Raw genomic sequence first — 21024 nt, forward strand, 5'->3', positions numbered from 1 at the left:
TGAGCTTTCAACTTACTCCTATTTCAGCTTCATGATCTCACTTCCAAATAGCAAATTCCTTCTGTTCCTTGGTTTGCCCCCCTGAAAAAGAGAATTTGAATTGTCCTATCTACCTTTTACCCTTCTATGGATGAACTCCATAAGGGCCAGATGGTCATCTCTGGACTAATTAACAATGGTGGGAGTAGAGGAGTCACATAGTACAAAACCTGGCTGCTTAGGCAGCAGGGGCTTGGGATAGGGGGATTTCCTCTAGAGAGGGCACGAGCAGACACGCAGGCAGGCAATGATTAGCATCTTGTAGTATAAATTCGAGACCACATGTCCACAGCAATTACATTCAGAGTTTCTTTCATGAACTCTGATTTCTGCCGAAACTAGGAGGAAACACCTAAAAGAAGACTGGACAAAGAGCCAGGGGAACGGAACCCAGACTCTAATCACAATTTGTTGTAAGACCTCAGTGTAACCCATTTCACCCTCATAGGCCTCAGTTTCCTCATCTGTCAAGGCAATGGGATGGAGAAGATGAACTCTAAATTCCTTTCCACTTCCAAGATAAAAAGGAAACAGAAATGATGAGGCAGGGTGCCTAAAAGCTGACCTTGGACCTGAAATGGTTAGATAATTGAACTTGATGCATAGTTTAAAGCATTAATGATCTGAAAAATTCCATATGTATTGATATTCTTGGAGACAATTATCTCTACAGTAAGCATATGTTGAATTAGCATAAGGTTACTATTAAAAAATACTGTGGAAATGAAATATAAACTTCTATAATCGTAGGAAGCAACAATCTCAAAATCACTGATCCAGTCTTTCACTTAAACAGGATTGATGACTAAAGCTCCAACTTCCTTCCTCACATCACTGATGTTACGCATGTAGGACATGAAGTCTGGATGAAAGGTGAATGGCTTCTAAATGGATTTGCCTCCCCCCTGAGGTCAGGCACCGGCTGGTCTTTAATCACTGTTGTCCTGTGCCTGAGCTTATTTATAAATAAGCTGCAGAGTCAAATGTGTACCACATGTGGAATGCCCCCCAGAAGCGTTGCCATCATATGGGCCAAATATTGATTTTATAGGAATAAGAATGTGCAGTAAGCAACACGTGGAAAAGAAAGACTACATTTGTTTCCCAATAACCAAGTTAGTAGAAGACTGCAAAGCTTCTAAAATCATAGCCACTATTTAGGAAGAATTGATCTTTGGATGGTGGATACCTTAGCCAGACCTTATCTACATAGTTCCCTTTACCAGTGGGGAGTAGAATTTAAGGTTTTTCTGGTTCCACTTTTTGCCACGTAAGTCACCATCTATTCTCTGTTTTTCCCTGTCACAGGGCCTTGGAACTCATCCGGGAAGTTTAGTCCATCACTTTACCAAGCTAATTTGCGACAATCAGTCTTAGGGTGGCCCTACAGAAACCACAGTTATTTCCAGTCTGAGCTGTTTCCCAGTTGGGACAAACAGGAATAATTGCCCCTGAAGAGGCCTCTGAAGTGATTGATCCACCTGTGTTAGGCAGGCATATAGTCCAGGTCTTACTGCTTCTAGCTACTTGGCACCCCTCCATTCTCTGCCTCCATCTCCGACCTGCAGGTTATATTTTTCCTTCAATGAGTTCCCTTGCTCTTTAGACTGCCCTTGGCACTCCTGTAATAGGCATTTTCACACATGTAGAAATAGGAAAGATGAGAGATCGCGCAGAACAATTTGTCTTGGTCAATGGATTACCTGTAGATCATCAGGTTGACTGAAATTTTGAGGTCTATGTTGTGTCCCTTGCAATATAATTTTAACACAGTATCTTTCTGATGATATGGTCATTTAAGTGAGCACTAGCAATGCACATGTTGCTGTGTGTGCTGAAATACTCCCAGACTAGGTCCAAGTTATGGACGAAAGTGTATTGTTCTCAACGACCTCTAGCCTGGTGCTACTCCAAGTGGTGATCCATAGACCAGTGTCCATCTACAAAATTTTTATTCCAGATCCACTTTGGAACAAGAACAGAAATTAAGAGCAAGAGTTTAGGAACATTAAGGCAATTGTACAGTGATTTTATGTCTGTTGAATCTAGTAATTAAAATGTGTAAAACAAAATAAAATGTGTAGCTTGTATTCTGTAAAGCTTTATTTTAAATTTCATTTTTCTAGTAATTCGTTTTTATTACAATTTATAAAAGGATTGGTCTCACGCCTGTAATCCCAGCACTTTGGGAGGCTGAGGGCAGGTGGATCACGAGGTTAGGAGACTGAAACCATCCTGGCTAACACGGTGAAACCCCATCTCTACTAAAAATACAAAAAATTAGCCGGGCGTCGTGGCGGGCGCCTGTAGTCCCAGCTACTCGGGAGGCTGAGGCAGGAGAATGGCGTGAACCCAGGAGGTGGAGCTTGCAGTGAGCCGAGATCGAGCCAACGCACTGCAGCCTGGGCGACAGAGCGAGACTCCGTCTCAAAAAAATAAAAATAAAAAAAAAAAGGATTGGTCTGCAACAGATTGAAAATAACAACCAAACCAAAGCTGGTTTTTCACCACAGACACTTTGAGAAGCACTGCTCTAGAATTATTTTAGTTATCATTTCTAGCTTCCACAAACCATATTAAGTGAAGCATCTTAACATCCAGGCTTTAAAAGGGGAATCCGATGTTCAGCATCCCATGATGTAGAATTTTCTTAAACCCCACACCCTACCTAAGGACAGGGGGTTTTATAGTTCTAGAGGTGAAGGAATGGACACTTCTTAGCTCTCAGAGGTCTGACGTGTTGCAGAATCTCCCTCAATATTGAGCTGCAGAAACACTGAAGGACAGGCTATGTTTCAGGAGGAGACCCTGGGATAATCCCATTGTATAGTAAATGTTATACATACAACCTTTTATCAAGGGATACAATTTTTGACCTGGGGTAGAAAATCAATGGTCATTTGACACACGGTGAAGATTCCAAGACTAGAACAAAAAGTATTCTTTTGGATCTTCTTATTGAATTATTTTCAGAGAAGAAAGCCATGAAGAGGTTCCCAGTTCTGTAGAAAAGTCAATTCAAGCTTGTAAAATGTGCTATTTGCAGATGTTGGTACTGTTTATTCACAGATTCAACAGGCCTAAAGGAGCAGGTTTCTCACGAATGGACATTTCATCACTCACCACTGTGTTGCTTCTCAAGCTTCCTCTCCCAACATCACAGCCCTGCAAGACTAGTCTCTTATCGGGCTCCCATTTCAATCAGGCTATACTGCCTCTCTCCAAGTCTGCATCCCACTCTGTGCTGATAATCCAGTTTGAGGACAGTTCCATGTGTATACTACAAGGCATTTGCGACACCTGAACTCCAATAGTATTACACACACACAAATGCACTTGCCTTTAATTGATTTTTAATTTATTTAGGCCCGCATGATTTTTTTATGTCTCCACTTTTGCTGAAAAACTCATAGATTTGTTTTCCAGTTATGCAAAGGGAAGATTTCCAACATACAAATGCATGGCTTATTTTCAGAACCATGACCGTTTTTCACCATCACCTCCTAAGTATTGACTGTGGCACAGGCTTCAGTTCACATAGAAGTCACTGTGCAGAGTCTTCAGGAAGCCGCTGGACATGGTGTGAGGACGGAGATGAACTGCACAACCCTGATATCAACTCCATACTACAAGGATTTTATCAGACATATGCTGAATAAATGTGTTATGTTTTCAAGGAGGATTTTTTCCCTTAACATTTACTGAGCATTTATCATGTTCCTGCCTTACATTGTTCAGGTGGCTTTAATAGAATATCATAAACTGGGTGGCTTATAAATAATAGAAATGTATTTATCATAGTTCTAGAGGCTGGGAAGTCCTAGATCAAAGTGCTGGCACATACACTGTCTGGTGAGGGTCCTCTTCCTGGTTCATGGATGGCTGCCTTCTTGCTGTGTAAGAGTCAAGGAAGTTCTCTGGGGTCCCTTTTATAAGGGCATGAATTCCATTCATGACGGTTTCATCCTCAAAACCTAATCACCCCCCAATGACTCCACCTCCAAACACTATCACATTGGGGATTAGGTTTTAACATACGAATTTTGGAGGAACAAAAATATTCCATCTATAGCATTCGCCCCGTTTTCTCAAAATTTATGTCCTCCCATTTGTTCCATCCTAATAGCATTTAAAGTCAAGCATCAACCTTAAAATCTAAGTCCAAAGTCTCATCTAAATATTGTCTAAATCTGATCTGGGTGGGACCTAAGATATGATTCATTCTGAGGCCAAATTCCCCTCCAGCTATAAACCCGTTAAACAAAACGAGTTATGCACTTTTAAAATACAGTGGGGGACAGGCATAGGATAGACATTCCCATTCCAAAAGGGAGAAATCAAAAGAAAGACAGGACTGACAGTCAAATTCCATTAGACCTTAAGGCTAGAAACTGGGGTGAGGGGCTAACAGTGTAAGTCCCAGTTCAAATCTGATGGCTCAAGAACCAGGAGCACTGATATCTGAGGGCAGGAGGAGATGGATGTCTCAGTTTAAGCAGAGAGGGAATTCACCCTTCACTCTGTCTTTCTATCTGGGCCCTCAATGGATTGTGTGCTGCCCACCCACATCAGTGAGGGTGATCTTCTTTACTCAGTCAACTGAATCAAATGCTAATGTCTTGCAGAAACTCTCTCACAGACACGCCCAGAAGTAATGCCTTACCAGCTATCTGGGTATCACTTAGCTTAGCCAAGTTGACACCTGAAATTAACCACAACAGTGCCCAACAGCTAATTTAATCCTCATAAAATCTTGTGAAGATACTAGTATTACCATCCTAATTTTAAAAATGAATCTGAGGCATAGCGTGCTAAGTGACTTGCCCATGGTCACAGAGCAGGGAGTGGTAGAGCTCAGATTTGCACCTGGGGAGCATGGCTCCAGAGTTTTGCTTCTCAAGTTCCCCTCAAGAAACAAATGCAAAATAGGATAAGAACCTTTCGACCATTAGTGTGATAAAATGAAGAGGCTATGGAGCCTGTGTTTTTAGCCTTAGTAAGTGAGGAGAGCCTTCCATGATGGACGGTACAGTTCAGGAAGTTAAAAACCTGTAGCAGTCAAGTGCCAAAGAAAGCATGAGAAAATGGAAAAAAGGCCAGCGAGTCTTGAATGCCCACTGCTTCCTGTCCTTCATTGCTCTCCTCCTTGACCCCTGCAGCGTCTTGCTGACAGCCCGTATTCCCCACACCCACATTAGCTCCCACTTTTTCCTGCTTTCCCACTCAATGACATGTCCCATCTCCTTGACCTTCCCCAACCCTTCCCAAGGGTATATGTTTCAGGACCTACCAACCCACCTGTCAAATTCACACAAAGCAGGGAGCATCTGAGCTTTCCAAAGACCTCTTCTCATTCTTTTTTGGCAAAATGATACAATTTCTCACAAAATTTATGGTTTTTACCTCACCATCCCCTTTACCATCTCCATGCCTAAATAACATAATTAGCGGGCTCCTTTTCTTCAGCTACAATACCACTGGGGAAAGGAATTCAATTTGGTAGATCTTCCCCCACTTTACTCACACTAACTCCCTGAGTTCCAAAGGACCTGGACCATAAAAAATAAATTTGACAATAAAAAAATTGGACTTAACAAATCCAAACTCAGAAAATACATTCCTGGACTTGTCAGAACAATAAGTCAATGCCACATGTCAATAGGAGGCAAATTTGAAACAGACAGAAAAGTGAAATCAATAGTCTATCTGTGAGAATTCTAACTCTACTCCCTAAACCAAATATTAGAAGTTCAAAAGGAAAAATATTTTTTTTTCTGATTGATTTGCAAATGACAAAGATAAGGTCGATTTCCTAGAGTTTTTCTAAGCTTTTTGTTTTTTTTTTTTTTCACCTGGGAAGATTAAATGGGAAAAACACTCAATTTTAGTTTATCTAAAAAAATGTAAAAACAGCTCAATTTTTAATTTATTTGTGCCTGTCAGATAATGGGGAGTACAGATGATGCCCAACTGAAGCATCTTGACTCACCTTCTCAAACTTGGACAGTGATGTGAGCCAGATCAGTGTTCATGCTCAGGCCTTGATTGACTTGTCAGCCTCTCATGCTTTCCATTAATAAGCTGTATTAATAGAGTATGTGGTAGGATATAAAATCCCCATACACTATTCTGTATAGTCCTTTGGCTACTTTCTAGATGCTTTTTATTGCTTCAGGATTATTTCTCCTTGTAAGATCATCACGCAAAATTCCTGACTTCTTTCTTAATATTAACATTACAAGGGAATTTAGTCATCTGTACAAACATTGAGAAGTTAAGCTTTCAAATAAAAAAACCAACAACCAACCAAAAGACAGCAAGAAAACCCGGTAATCTCTGAGACTAAAACCCTGGGGTGAGATAGGTGCCCACAATCTCTTCAATTGTTGAAAGACCAGGACCATTTCTCAGACTTAAACCTGGAATGTTCTTAGAAGAAATGAAAATGTTTCACATTCAGAATGATAGGAAGAATAAATATTTGTTAAAAATAGCATGTTTCATGGATTATAGCTCATAATGTTTGAGCTGATAAAGACTAAAGCTACTTCTTATTATATAAAGAATTTGAATCTCTTAGTACTTTAAATAAATACCAGAATATATATGATTTCTTTGCTTCTAGGAATACTTGTAATTGTTAAGTGCTCATCTTGAGTTCAATGAAAAGGCAGAGGATGTTTAAAATTTCTTAAAATAATAGCATCTAGCTGCAACCAGTTCCCCATATGACATTCCATTCTGCCTGAGGCAGTGTGTAGGGGATAGCATTCCATAAAGGTGTGGCATTAGGAGAAGTGACTGCTTACCAAGTATGGGACAGCATTTTCTTTCTTTGATTACAAAATAACATATGCCTATGATTAAAAAAAGAAAATAATAAAGTAGTATATATAAAGTGAAAATTAAAAGTCCCCCTCTGAAGTGACGGTAGGTATTCCAAATCTTTTTCTGGGTATATATAAGTGAATGTATATCTAAATAACAAAATGTCACCTATTCAGATTTCTCAATATCAGAACCATCCAAATAATGAGATTGGCCTAAAAGGATTTTTTTGAAATGCTTATCCATTTAAACTATCATGCCGAGTAATAATTGAGGAGTAATTCCTCATGGTATGTGGCATATGGTGGGATGTGCTGGTTGGTTGCCATGGAGATTCATTTGGTGGTATATTGCGAAGTGAGGTTGGTGGCTGTTCTGGTAATGCATGAGTTGGGCTGGTTCAGAGTTATTTCTATGTTGTAAAAGCAATAAAGTTTAAAGTACTGAAATGAAAGTATACAAATACATTACACATCCCATTCTTACTTCATAATCCATATAATGGAAAGTGGAGAACGTATTCAGAAGATGTATAGATTGGATTAAGGTTTTGTTTTGTTGTTATCATTGGGTTCTTTTGTAGGTAGAATATCTAGATTCGTTAATCTAGCCACATTGCAAGCATTTTGGCAAAAAATAGTTCTTCTACTGTATTTGTAATCCTGATGTTGGCTGATGTCTTCCAGACCCATAAGATCTAGATGAACAGCTTGAACCACCCCACCCCCCATTCTATGCCCTGAGGAAATCTAAGGTTCTCCTCAAGATTTCTACATATTTTCAAAGATTTGATGTGCTTCCAAAGCCAAGAAAGGCTCCCTATTCTCTGGCTGCTGTCTCTGTTCTGCATTGTTGACTTATATGGTCAACTTGGCCCCTTCCTGGATTTAGGCATGCACACACACCTACATATTCACACAAAGCATTAGTGACTTTAGTGACGATTTGAGGATTATTGGCCAGACTTCCTACTAGGAAGCACACAGCAAGCTATTTAAAATCACTCATTAACGACTTCACTTCTTAAGTCTTTTCCTCCATCTTGCTTCAGGGAGAGCTACACTTGCTTTTGCCTCAGATGCTGCTAGCCCCTCACCTTCTCTCTCTCTCCTCTCCTTATCTTTTCTGCTGTCATCTCCTTCCTTCAAACATACAGAACAGGTTAGACTTCTTTACTTCCTTCTGCAATAGCTGCATCTCCAAACATATTAAAGTACTGAGTAGAACACCATTTAACAGAGTCTACCCTAAAGAGATCTTGTATAAAAATGGGAAAAATTTATTACATTTATATAGAAATCACTTGGGTATTGTTATATTTTACAAAATGGGACAATATAATACATATTATTACGCAATTTGCTTTTTCAATCTCTCATCAGCATATCATGAATAACATTTCAGGGAACTTAAATCAACCTTACTCTTTTTAATGGCTGAGTATTACTCCATAGTGTATTATATTTAGGAATCCCCTCTATCAGTATATATTTAGCATTTCTCTACAATTTTTCACTCTTATAATGATGTAATGAATATCCTTGCACATGCATATTTTCACATTGCTATGAGTGATTGCTGCAGGAAAAGCCCTAGAAGTGGAATTATGGTCAAGACATAAGCATATTTAAAATTTTGATAGACTCTCTCAAATTGCTCACAAAATAGCATGTGTATTCATTCCCATCACCAGGGTGCACACTCACAAAGGATATTTGTAAAGCCTTTTAGAACAACTTTAAACAGTTGCTGGCATATTACATCATCCTTGCAGATGTTAAATAGTTGGGATTAGACCAAGAAATTATTTGTAAACACTGCCACCTAAACCCACTGCAAATCTACATGACAGGGAAAAAATATTGGAAATAAAACTAAATAGAGATCCCAGGTCCCTCACCCAGTGAATAAAAGAGAATCTAAGTCTAGTTAGAATTTTAGTAGGAAGCTAATCTTACAGACAATCACTGAGGAAAGGCACAGAAAAGCACCCTTGTGGGGGATTGCAGGGGGCTCTGGGAGTGCATGTAGATACCAGCAAGTAGCAGTGACATCATCTTCTTCTTTATATGGGAAACACCCTCATGGTACTGAAACCCATACTAGCAGACTTCCAAATGAAACTTCTTCGGAGAAACAGCTGTGGGTTTCACAGAGGGCCATCCTTCAATCTACAGGCTTGGGTATGGTGGAGCTTTTGGCCACATTGCTTCTGACAATCTGTCCATGTCCCCAGCCCTGAGGCTTAATGCTAGAAGCTACAGCCTACCTCATACACAGGACAGTTCCTTGCACATGTTGGCAAAGTTTCTAGGGTAAAGATGTTACCACTGAGTACTATTTGGGGAATGGAAACAGGAGATCTGAGATCTGGCTCAGATACTGCCCCTCACTCATGTTTTGTCCTTAGGTCAACTGTCATGTCTCACTTTCTTCATTTGTAAATTGGGTATTACAAAGGCTTCGCATACCTTCCAAGTAAAGATCATGTGCATTCACACATATTAAGGCAGTCTGTAGCACAAATTGGGTTTCAAATGTAAGGCTTTGTTAATAAAGAAGGTTCTCTTACAGCTCTTTGTAAACACTACGGGAAACAAACAAACCAACAAAACCCATTTCCAACAAATCAAAAGAAAAAGAGATCTGAAATTAGATAGCAGTGATGGGTTGCACAACCTTGTGAATATACTGAAAATCCCTGGTTGGAAAAAAAGAAAGAAGACAGGAAGGAAGGAAGAAGGAGAAGGAGGCAGGGAGGGAGGGAGGAAGGGAAAGAGACAGAAAGGTTTTTTTTTGTTTTGTTTTGTTTTTTGTTTTTTTTAATTGCAGAGATAATCAAAGGTGTAGGGAGGGAACTAACTTCCTTGGAGCATATTTTATAAGTCAGGCCCTCTTCAATTTTTCAGATATGGGGTCTTTATTTCATCTCCCCATAATTTGAGATGTAGAAATTATTGCCCAGATTTTTTGGGAAAATGAGAGTTTCAGTACCTTGACCAGGTCATAGGGCAATTACCTTGCCCAGAATTTGAATCTAACACTTCTTGACTCCTAGGCCTGAGCTTTTTAGCTGTACCATGCTGCTTCTTGACCCAGTCAAAAGCTCAAAGCAAGCATAAGATTTGCCAATGACATCAGACCCACATATTCAGACTCCCCTCAAGAGACTCTATGTGAAAGAACTTGAGAGATTTCCTTGATGCTAATCTCAAAAGTTAAGTGAAGTGCCCCTGACTGAGAAGGACAGTCCATTATGTGTCTAGTGTTTATACACTCATCATAGCCTTCCTGGGTCTATTTGTATTTTCATCCCAAAACCTTGTCTTGGGTTAATGAGCCCCACAAGTTCTCTAGCCAAACGTTTATTGGCTTCCAGCTTAACATAAGCTTGTACCTAATCAATGTAGCCGTTGAAACAAGTTCCACGCTGGCAAATTCCCAAAGCAAAAGGAGGTAAATGAGAACAACATGAATGAGACAAACAAGGGAGCCACCATGGAGGAACAGTTTAATCAACACTTAGAGAAACATGGCTGCCTCCTGCTGAGATGGAAATAAATCTGTTTTGTAGACATCCTGGTGCCTTTAACCATATCCTCTTCCTGTAGTATGAAGCCTTTCAGCTTTTGCATCACTCCTGCTGGAAATCACTTCATAACAAAAGAAGTTGAAAAATTTCAGATCCAGGCTTTAAAATTAAGTTCTAAAAAATAAAAACAGTAGCAGACACAGTTGGTGCCTTACCTATAACACCTTGGACATTTACTGTGAACCCCATGACTCACTGCCTGAGGATTTTGCCAGACTGGGGAGCATGACAGACCAGTGTGCAAAGCAAGTAGGAAGCGCTAGGCTGTAAACTCCCCCAGAAGTTGCTCTCATCCAATGGCTGGGTTCATGGATAACTAATTTGATGGACAAAGAGTCAAAAACTGAGTGTGTGTGTGTGTGTGTGTATATATATATATATATATATATATATATATATATGTAGCTTAGCATCCCAGCTTCATGGTTGGGGTAACTCAAGGTGTGTTTTGCTCTGTCCTCCAGAGTTCTTGAGCTCCATGTGCCTAGAGCAGCAACTGGTTTAATAAGGCTTCCTTTGTTGGCCTCCTTCCCTTCCCTGTCTCACTTCCCCATTTCCCTCCTGCTGTTTCCTGGGATTATCTCCCAAAAAAACCTCTTGCATTAAAATCTTTGTCTCTGAGTCTCCTTCAAGAGGAACCCAAAACAAGACAAGGGTGACTCACACTCTCTCGATGAAAATTGAAATGATCATTAAGAAAATAAGCTTTCGGCCTTTCTCTTTAGTCCTATTGACTTTGGATTTCTCTCATCCCTTTAGAACTTCTCCTCCGTCGACTGATTTCCCAAGGTCCCAAAATTTGCCTGACCACCTGCAAACTAAGTGTTTCCCCATCTCCATGGCCACTCCTGGTTCCATTCACTAGTTCTCTCCGGATATTACTACCTGGAAAGTTAAACCTGCTAACATATAGAATGTTAGAACTGGGCAGGAAGGAACCTGAGACCTGTAAGGCCTTGTGATCTGTCAAAGAGACTCACCCAAGGTAGAAATCATGCTTTTTGGTCCCCAACACCAGGTGCTATGCAGGTTCTTTCCTCTCTTTCCCCAGTTCTGACACAGTCTCTCCCCTCACTCCATTCCCTGCATTGGCACCATTTTTACCTTTGGTCCTCTCCCAGTTATTGGCCGGACTAAATGACCTCTGAAGCCCTTGAAAGTTATTTACCTTCAGTGACTCTTACCCTCATCTTCTAACTAAGGGTTGGAATGTTGGAATACTGAGACGATGCCCCACCCCCCCACCCCAAATGACCACCACCAGACCTTCCTGAAATGCCATGTTCTAGGAGATCACTTCTTTCTCCCAAAAACAAGGTTTTGGTCACTGAGCTAACAAATTAGTTTTCTTAGTTCACGAATCCCATCTCTGTTAAACTTCTTTGTCTATATCAAAAGTAGCTCCTCCATTTTTCTCCTCTCAAACAAATCCCTGCCAGATACAGTGCCCTGACCAAGGGCATAGTTAGCCATAAAATCATCATGCATCTGTCCTAAACCCATTCTAATGGCCCTGGGGCAGGAGGGGATATCGTGTTATGTCCCCTCCTCCTCAGCCATGCATCCCGCTCTCTGGAGTACTGCCAGCTCCCTTCACCAGTCCCCATTTGCAGAACCCCTCACCCCCTCACCATGTTCTTAGGAAGATGAATCAGGAGTGAACAGTTTAGACATTATTTAAGTTCTCTTTTGATCACATAGAACGTAAGTAAAGAATTCTTGGGACAAGTGATACACTGCATTCCTCAAGTATGTCTATCTGTGCAAAGCACCGAAGGGGCTGCATTGTTTACCTTAACAGTTACAGCCCCTGCTAATGATTACAAGGATGCTGTTTATATCAATATTTAAATATGCCATTTCTCCCAAATGAACCACAACAGCCTCATTTAATGTTATTTTATTAGGATGAGCAGATATTTGGGCAATGTTAAACCTGTATGCCACTTGCTATACAAACCTCTCTAATAATGCCTCAGTTTAGCATCTAAATACATATTTAAACAGTTTAAAAACACATTGACTACATAATTTGTATTTGTAACTGCTCAAAATAAAGGACTTTTTATTGAGTGTGCCAAATAATGTGAATTTGGATGCCTTCTGAAAGGATGCATTATTCATGTGGAAGAGAAACAAAATCAATAAATGAAAATTCGAATAAAAATAAAACCCATTATGTTGCTGCACCCAGACAATGATCGTCTTGTGCATTATTTACTCAAGGAAAAGACACAGGAAAATGGCCCTTCTGGAAGTGGGCTATGAAGTGAATCATAACCTCCTGCTTAGGCTGTTCGAAAAGAAACAGAACTGTATGTTTCTAACAGAAAGAATTGTTATGTTTCTAAAAGAAAGACTCAATTTCTTTTAGTTTGTGACTAAAATTATTTAAAAATTTAACAGCAAAATACATTTGGGAAATTGGTAAGATGTGAAAATGATTACATTCTATTGTTACCACATCACATATTTCATTGCTACCGGGATATATAGAATACATTAAAGTTCAGAACGGGATTCTGTGGAAAAGCATATCTTTGCATACACAGAATACTGGATATGTGTGTTTATGCTTGGTGAGGAGGACAAAAACAAAGCTTATTAACTCTGGCACATTTCAGGACGCTTCCCTAATTTTCACGGAGGCATCAATATTGGTCAAGAAGTCAGGCTTTGGGGTCAGACATCCTGAGTTAAATCTTGCCTCTTACACTACTAGTTCTGTGATTTTCATTATTTAACCTCTCTGAGCTTTGGTAAATGTGAGTTTGACGAGAGTACCTGCCTGCCAGGGATTAAAGGAAATTCTTAGCGCAGTACCCGGCACATGGAAGTTACCCAGTGAGTGTTAGCAATAAGAATCTCTAAGAGTAGCACTATCTTTCCTTACAGACATTTGATTGTCAAAGCACATGGCTATGGTTCCTCAACAATAATGCACAGGTGCACTTTGATTCTTTGCTGAAGAATATTATTTGAGACTCTGCTGCCTATTTTTTATCAAATGTTACAAGAAATAAACTTTAATGTTTCTTCACGGAACACTTGCCTGAAAACACATTTTATTCTTGGCACAAGGCAGATCATCAGGAAGCTACAACTGATGAACTTAAGGAAGTGATGTTACAAAATTTAATTTTGTTGAATTATATTTCACACCAACAGTTTATATTGAAGTGTGAAAAGAAAACAGCTCTAGGGAATTAAATAGTTTGTTGATCACAGGGATGTCTTGAGGATGTTACCTACTTTATTACCTAGTTACTCCTTTTGGAAGATCCTCCAGTGACTAAACTTAGGAAAATACTATATTTATTAATTCACTTAAAAAATGTAACTTACTCAGTTTTTGCTGAGCACTGTTCTGGGGCACTAGACATAGAATAGTGAACTAAACAGACAAAATCCCTGCCCTGAGTAGCAGCATTCATCTTCTAGCTTCTTGGCAACTGGTTTACTTTTATCTTACAGATACTGCAAATGTTATAACTGAATAGATTTAACTCTTTGCTTTGGATTCTAGCAGGTTGAGAGCCAAATGGTACAGATTCTTATGGCATATATCCTTGTATGCTAACTTCACTTGTGGATTTATCTTGCCCTTATACCCAATCTTCTCATCTACTTCTTTATTACTCTGCTGCAAAATATGTGTTTTTATAAGTAACCAGAACATTTTTTAGGAGAAACAAAATTAAGAATTTATAAATGCATCAGAGAAATAAATAAATATAGCAATACAAACATAGGTATGTGTGAATTCAGGTAACTATAAATTACAGCTACTACCATCCTGGATGGCCATTTGCTTTGCATCATGTTTCACCTCCAGCCTCAGAACAATGACTCCTGAAAGTTCATTAATGTAATAGATAATTATTGACCATCTGCAATACGCCAGACTCCATTCAGATTAGAGGATTAATGGTTAATGAGACAGATTAAGTCTTGGGGAGCCTGTATCTGTATGGAGGCTGTATTAGACAGCTCAAGCTGCTATAACAAAATACCATAGACTGGGGGGCTGAAACAACAGAAATATATTTTTTTCAAAGTTCTAGAGCCTGGCAGTCCAAATCAGGGTGACAGCTTGGTCAGGTTCTGGTGAGGGCTCTTTCCCTGACTCACAGACAGCCACCTTCTTGCTGTGTTGTCACATGACAGAGAGAGAGAGAAAGAGAGAGAGAGAGATTGATTGATTCCTTCCTCTTATAAAACCATAGTTCTTTTGGATTAGAGTCATGCCCTTAGGATCTTATTTAACCTTAATTACCTCCCAAGTAGGTATTTGACCCTATCCCCAGATACAGTCACACTGGGGATTAGAGCTTCAACAAATGAATTTGGAGGGGACAAAATTCAGTCCATAACAGAAACCTCATGACATCTTGTCCAATAGTCAAAGAGCTCTAGGGAAGGGATATTACAAATTTATTCCATAGGTAGTTCTTGGGTTGAAAGCCCCTCATTTATATTTAATCTAAACCCCAAATTGCAGATAAAGGTCAATTTACCTGATTTTGTCCTCCAGCAAGATTCAACTTTTAAAATCATGTTTATTTTTGTCATGAGATGAAGGAATGCAGCTCATATAAGAAGGTGTATCAGTCTTCACTGATTGAACTATACAATACACCACAAAGAATGGTATTAGTAGTTGTGTTGGCATCTACTTATTCAATAAACATTATGAGTCTACTAAATTCCAGACACTGCTAGGATCTGGGATGTAGTGATGACTAATACAACACAGTCCCTGCCTGGGCACGGTGGCTCAAGCCTGTAATCCCAGCACTTTGAGAGGCCAATGTAGGTCGATCATCTGAGGTCAGGAGTTCGAGACCAGCTTGGCTAACATGCTGAAACCCCATCTCTACTAAAAATACAAAAGTTAGTCGGGTGTTGTGGTGGGCGCCTGTAGTCCCAGCTACTCAGGAGGCTGAGGCAGGAGAATCACTCAAACCCGGGAAGCAGAGGTTGCAGTGAGCTGAGATCATGCCACTGCACTCCAGCCTGGGTGACAGAGTGAGACTCTGTCTCAAAAACAAAACACAAAAAAACAAAAAACAACCCCCCCCACAACACACACACAGTCCCTGTCCTTACAATGGAAATGGGACATATAGACAAATAAACAGATACATATAAAATAGTGCTATAAGTAGAGGAAGGAAAACAATAGAGTCTTACGGACACACACAGAACACACACTGACATGGACCTCGGGTGTCAATAAAGGCTTTCCAAATGCAGTCATGTCTAAATTGATATCTTCAAGATAAGTAAAAGTTCTCTTGGTCAAGCGTGTATGTGAACAGGGACAGAGTGGGGAATGTGACCTAGAAATAAGAAGAATATTGAAAGAAGGCTTGGAGATTAGAGAGGACATAGCTCCTTATGAAAACCAAATGTCCGGAGAGTGAGGAGACAGAAGATTCTAGGGCAGAACCCTCAAGAGTAGCCATCTTTTGAAACATTAGGAGGAAGAGACTAGATAGTCCATGTCATCAACGGAGACAAGGCCAGGAGGCAGGAGAAAGCCCAGGAGGATTCGTTGTCAAGGAAATCAAGGCAAGAGACTATTCTAGAAGGGGAGAATGGTGATCTGGATTAAAAACTGCTAAAAGGTGAAGTAAGGAGGAAAATATGCCTAGGGACTGAGCAAAATGCAAACGGAAGTACCTGACAAACTTGGTGCAATCAGTTTTAATGACTGGTAGGGGGAAGAGCTGTTGTTACACCTATTCTCATTTATCTTGCTGGCCCTGATGAGAAGGAATTTGGTTGGATAGCAGGCCTTCCCCAGGTGATGCCTTCCATGTTCAAAACAATAGCAGGTGTGTAGTATGTATGCATGTAAATACACACACACACACACACATACACACACAGAGAGTTAAGTGTGTATAAGACAGACCACAAAATATTAACTGGGGTATATAGCATGGTGGGGTATAACTGGATGGTGGGACAATAGGAAATTTGTCCTTACTTTATTACCCTTTTCTATATTTTATTGTTTTCTACATTGAACATCTATTATTTTAAAATTATAAAAATGATAAAACTAATTTTAGAAATGGACTTACATAGGGGATGAAGGCAGATATCCCAATCTGGATTGATTTACCTATGAACTAAAACATGGTGTATTTTAATTTTTGTGTCAGGTTATCCAAATGCTTTTTTCTTTTCTTTTTTTCACTCTCTAACCATCAACATTTTACATGTCTGGATACCAAGCAAGGCTTTGTCTGGATAAAAACAAACTGGTTTTATGAGCCTGAAAGACGTCTTCCAATTTTGGGTAATTACATTGAAAATTTGCCCTGGATTCAGACAAGGTTTGAGCGCACACGAAAACCATCCTTACCTTTGCCTTTCTTCCCTTCATGCAGAGCCATAGATTTAAGAAATAAATGGTTACGGTAACATTTATATTGCTGCCTTTCACTCAAAATTGGCAAAAGAGCAGAAAAAACAAAATAATCAGTTTGCATCCTGGTTACCCTTTTACAATTAATTTAGGGAAAGCATGTAACTGGCAGAGAGAAACACTTTTCAGATCTCATGGAACGAAATTGTCCATTAGAATTTAAGGTCTTTTGGGAAGCAAACTAGTAGCACACTCAAGCTTGTGGAGCACAGGCAGTTAGGCCCCTGCCGACTTAAATGGCCATAGTGTGGGATGCCCAGGGTCTTCCCTGACCCCACCCCCAAATTCCTAAGCAAATTCTCAAAGAGAGATGATAACTGGGTGATTTCAACTGAAAACAGAAAAATCAAAGAACTTGAGTCCCTTGCTCAAATCCATCAGGGATGTGATTAAAAAGGAAACTAGATTTCTTCCTTCCTTCTTTCTACACCCCACATACCTCCCACAGCTAACGCAGCAGCCAGCACCATGGCTTTCCAAGCTAATCATTAGTTCTTGCAAACCTTCAGACAAAAATATCTTCCTTTTGAATTTTCATTCACAGACAACCTCCTCAGCTATGTCAGTACATGCTCCAGACAGACGACGAAGGATTTCAGTCAGGGGCATGGGCAGGCACAGGAGGGCAGGGTTAGTGGAGACTCAGGTCCTGTGAAATGGGTTAGGTCAGAAGCCTCTGGTTCTGAGGCCAGAGGAAGTCTAAAGAACATGACACAGGCCTGCCTTTGGGGCTTTTAGATTTCCAGATAGGTTCAGAAAGGAGCAGCAGGTTCAGGAAGACTTAAATGTATCTGGATTTTAACTTACAAAAGAATCACCTAGGCCAGGCACGGTGGCTGGCTCGTGTCTGTAATCCCCGCACTTGGGAGGATTGCTTGAGTCCAGGAGTTTGAGACCAAATTGGGCAACATAATGAGACTCCATCTTTACAAAACATTAAAAATTAGCCAGGTATAGTGGCCCAAGCCTGTAGTCCCAACTACTCAAGGGGCTGCAGTGGGAGGATCACTTGAGCCCAGGAGGTAAAGGCTTCGGTGAGCCATGATCACACCACCGCACTTCAATCTGGACAACAGAGCAAGACCTTGTCTCAAAAAAAAAAAAAAAATCACCTGAAAAGTTTGTTAAAAATGGAGGTTCCCAGTCATCATCCATCCCCAATTCTGGTTCAGTTATGCCTGGGATGGGCACTACAAATTTGCTTTGTAAAATAGTATGCTGGGTTATTCAGAAATGTGTTCAGAAATGTTAGCTTATAATTTTCATGCCACCCTATGCTGGCACTGCTTTGATCAGTGGGCTCTGGGAAGCAAGAATAACTAGTTCCCCCAGTCCCTGGCTGGGGAATGTGTACCTCTAGGTGGTGTGTGGTGTGAAGCAAGGGCCACGTACTCATAGGCTACGCAGCCTCAACCTTCCTTGAGTAATGATTCTAACTGCTGGTCTATGGGACAACATTACTATTTTTATTAAAGCAAAGATGAATACACAATGAATACATTAAAGCAAAGATGAATACATGATTTGAGTGAATGTCAAAGATGAAACCTGAAACTTTTAAAAAATGAGCTTATGGTAGGCTGCTTTTGATTGTATCTCTCAGATTGGATATGCTTTCTCTGTTCTCTGTCTCCAGTGGAAAGTTTGAGAAGCTTTGTTAGCAGCTAGCAATCAGCATAACATACAGTAGTTTCCTCATTTGAAAATGACATAACAGCTGTCTCTTGAAATTGTGGTAAGGCATAAACAAGATAACACTATTTAAGCCCTAGGCCAAAGTCTGACATTCCAAAAATGTTCCATAAAGTTCATCTTTCCTCCAGCGGAAAGAATACTCCATTTGGTACCCTAGGTAAGTGAGGAATTGCCTCTTTCTCTTCAAGATCTGAATTGTAGAAGATCTATAGTTTTATCCTTGCAAATTTACTGAAAAGGGTTATAAGCAAAAGTAGTTTCATGTAAATGTTCATAATAATAATGAGGAAATATAACAGATTGATGGTGGATTTAAGTTTATCCAAACATAATACTGGACAGAAACTAAAAAGAGACATGTAGTTCATGAAGAAGTCCAGCAAGAAGATATTTTTCTTCTCTTGGAAACTTTCCCTATCACGTACCATCTTATCTTATGGCTATTTGTGTGCCTTTCTTTGTACCTTTTAAACTATAAACTCCTTGAATGTGGAGACCACAAATTGTCTATCTTTGTATTCACTCATTTTTTTTTCATTTAACTAAGATGAAAACAAGCTATAGGTAATGCATGCAAGTGTTAAAAAATGAAGCTACACAAAAGAAGGACATTAAGAGGAAGAAAGTCTCCTTCCAGGCTACTAGCCTCCTGGTTCTCCTCCATAGGGACAATCGCTATTCAAATTTTTTGTGTACATTTTCAGAGATAGTCTACAAAAATAAATCACATTTTATAAAAATAATAGTATGCCACACCCAATTTTTGGTAGTTTGCTTTTATATTTTACAAAATATATTTTTCATATCTATACACATATATTATTTTATACATATGTATTAAATATATTTCTATTTTTATATTTTAGAGAACATTCCATCTTAGTGGATATAATACTGTCCTATCCTTTCTAAACAGCTCCATAATATGTACCACAGTTTATCTTACCCCATTGATGGATATTCATGTGGTTTTCAATTTAGGTGGTTTTGCTTCAGTGAATGCTCAAACAATGCTAAAATGAACATCTTTGTACATAAGCCTCTGGGCGTATTTGAGATTGCACCTATAGGCTAAATTCCTAGAAGTAGAAATGGGTCATTTGTAATTCTGATAAGTTGCCAAATTGTTCACCACTAAAATTATACTAATTTACTCTTCTGCCAACAATAACTATTGACCCCAAATTTTACCCACTTTTGATGTGTTACCAAAATTTAACAATCTAATGAGTGAAGCATTTGCATTTCATATGAATCAAAGTGTTTTGATTGATAGAGCAAGGAGGAACTTTTGTTAGTTCTGGGATAATTGATTATCTAGTTGGACATACACATATAAAAAATCAAATCCAAATAGATTCTGAACTTAAATGTTAAAGGCAAAACTATAGAAATTCTAGAAGAAAATATGGGAAAATATCTTTCTGATCTCGAAGTAGAAAAACATTTCTTTAATATGACCTCAAATGTACTAGCCATAAAGGAAAAGATTAATACATTTGATTATGTTAAACAGCTTCTGATTGTCAAAAGATACTATGAAGAAGTGAAAAGATGCCAAAATATGGAAGACATTGTAACACTTACAGTTGACAAAGGCTTAGTATTCAGACTACATAAACAGTTCCACAACTCAATAAAAAAAGACAGCTCAGTAGAAAAATGGGTAGAAAACATGAACAAGCATTTCACAGCAGAGACAATGTGAAGGTTGAATATACATAGGGAAGGAATCTCAATTTCATCAGCATTTAAAGAAATGCACATTGAGATATCAATGCGATACCATCTTACTATCCAACGCTACCACGCACTGGCAAAAAATATAGGTTCTTTTACACTGCTGGTAGGAATGTACACCACTACTTTGGAAAGTCATTTGAGATTATCATTCACAATACTCTAGATATATATTTTGTAACCCTAGTTTTATACCCTGGAGAAAATCTCCAGTGCAAAGAATGTTCATAGCAAGTCTAGTGGTAATAGCAAAAACTGGAAACATCCCATATGTTCATTGACTAAAGAATAAATAATTGTGTTACATTCATTGAATGGAACACTATGTAGAAATTAAAAGAAGCCCAAATGTGGGCTTGGAAGCTAGTCCATGTGGTTTTAAATCCTGGCTTTCCCACTTACCAACGATATAATTTTGGACAACTACTTAATTTCTTTTCATCTCAATTTCCTCAACTATAGTTTTTATCTCTGTGGTGAAGATTAAATGATTGAGTGCATGTAAAGCTCTGAGAACCATATATGCACACAGTAAGCACCCTGTGTTAGCTACAATTATTGAAAGAGTGCACATAGGCTTTTGACATATCTAAAAAAAATCAAGAAACAGATTTGAACTAGATGGTGAAGGTACAAGGGAACACATAAACTGAGGATAAATAGGATGAATAAGGGCAAGAAGAAATTTCAG

At 39.2% G+C, this 21024-nt stretch overlaps 1 protein-coding gene and 1 long non-coding RNA gene across 5 annotated transcripts in view; both read right to left on the bottom strand.

The window, feature by feature from the left end:
* The window catches only part of NFIB (nuclear factor I B), a 450235-nt gene that overhangs the window by 388530 nt on the left and 40681 nt on the right, over window positions 1-21024 (bottom strand). The window lies entirely within an intron of this gene.
* LOC124902121 (uncharacterized) lies at window positions 10362-11690 on the bottom strand. The gene is made up of 2 exons (XR_007061420.1): window positions 11564-11690; window positions 10362-10573 (listed from the first exon to the last, which is right to left on the bottom strand). It is a non-coding gene; the product is annotated as an uncharacterized LOC124902121 (long non-coding RNA).

This window comes from Homo sapiens, chromosome 9 (genome assembly GCF_000001405.40).
Source record: "Homo sapiens chromosome 9, GRCh38.p14 Primary Assembly".
Classification (NCBI taxonomy): domain Eukaryota; kingdom Metazoa; phylum Chordata; class Mammalia; order Primates; family Hominidae; genus Homo; species Homo sapiens.